General features: G+C 33.8%; 1 non-coding gene across 1 annotated transcript; it reads right to left on the bottom strand.

The window, feature by feature from the left end:
• Nucleotides 1-1,451: 1,451 nt before the first annotated feature.
• On the bottom strand, nt 1,452-1,517 carry MIR297 (microRNA 297). Its single transcript, NR_030643.1, has one exon. It is a non-coding gene; the product is annotated as a microRNA 297 (primary transcript).

Here is a 1,517-nt window from a genome sequence, read left to right on the forward strand (position 1 = left end):
TATTATTATAAAGAGCTTAGAATAGTTCCTGGCAGAGAGTGATTTTTATTTAAGGGTTAGATATATAGTTAGTATAATCTTTTGGCTACTTTTATTATCAATTGATTATGAGATTGATCAGAAAAGACATTTGGAGATAGAGTGGGGCTGGCAAATGTGATCCCTTTTCCCCTTTTAGACTCTAATTTCTCTTTGCCCCTCTTCTTTTTAATCCTTCAATCTCTCTCTCAGACCTATGACTTGATGCCTGTAGACCCTAGGTAGTGAGATCTGTGTGCCTCTGAGGACTATGATGCAGCACTCCAACAGAAATAGCAGAATTCTGAATAAGTATTCAGTCAGCACGTTACTGTACTAAATGCTTTAGGCAACTGTTACACAATGGCAAGCATTTGTGTATCTAAACATTTCTAAACATATAAAAGGTAAAATATGGTATAAAAGACAAAAAATGGTAAACCTGTATAGGGCACTTACCATGCATGGAGCTTGTAGGACTGGAAGTTGCTCTGGGTGAATCAGTGAGTGAGTGGTGAGTGAAGGTGAAGGCCTAGGACATTACTGTCCACTACTGTGGATTTTATAAACACAGTGAACTAGGCTACACTAAATTAAAAAAAAATCTTCTTTCTTAAATAATAAATTAACTTTAGCTTACCATGGCTTTTTTACTTTATAAACTTGTATTTTTTTACTTTTTGACTCTTTCTGTAATAACATTTAGTTTAAAATATAAACACATTGTATCGCTGTACAAAAATGTTTTCTTTCTTTATATTCTTATTCTATAAGCTTTTTTCTATTTCAAAGATCATATATATATATATATATTTTACTTTTTCAACTTTCTTGTTAAAAACTAAGACAGAAACATACACATAGCCTAGGCCTACACAGGGTCAGGATCATCAGTATCACTGCCTTCCATCTCCACCTCTTGTCCCAGTAGAAGCTCTATTAAGAGTGGAAAACTGGAAATAGTAACACAAATGGAGCTGTAATCTGCTATAACAATGCCTTCTTCTGGATACCTCCTGAAGGACCTGCCTGAGGCTGTTTTATAGTTAACTTTTTTTTTATAAGTTGAGGCAGTATACCCTAAAATAGCAATAAAAGTTTACTATAGTAAATATATAAGCCAGTAACATATTCGTCATTATCAAGTGTTATGTATTGTGGATAATTGTATGTGCTGTAATATTATATGACTGGCAGCACTGTAGGTTTATTTACACCAACATCACCAAAAACGCATGAGTAATGCATTTGCTATTACATTATGATGGCTACGACGCCATTAGGTGATAGGAATTTTTCAGCTCCATTTTCTTCTTATGGGACAACTGTCACATTTGTGGTCTGTCGTTGACTGGAACTTTTTCGTGTGGTTCATGACTATATGATCAATGCAGAAGTTATACCATAGATTAAAAATAGAAATGAAATCTCCTTGATATATGAGTACATAATACATATATATGTATATACACATACATGCACATGCACACATACATACA

This window comes from Homo sapiens, chromosome 4 (assembly GCF_000001405.40).
Source record: "Homo sapiens chromosome 4, GRCh38.p14 Primary Assembly".
Taxonomy (NCBI): Eukaryota; Metazoa; Chordata; class Mammalia; order Primates; family Hominidae; genus Homo; species Homo sapiens.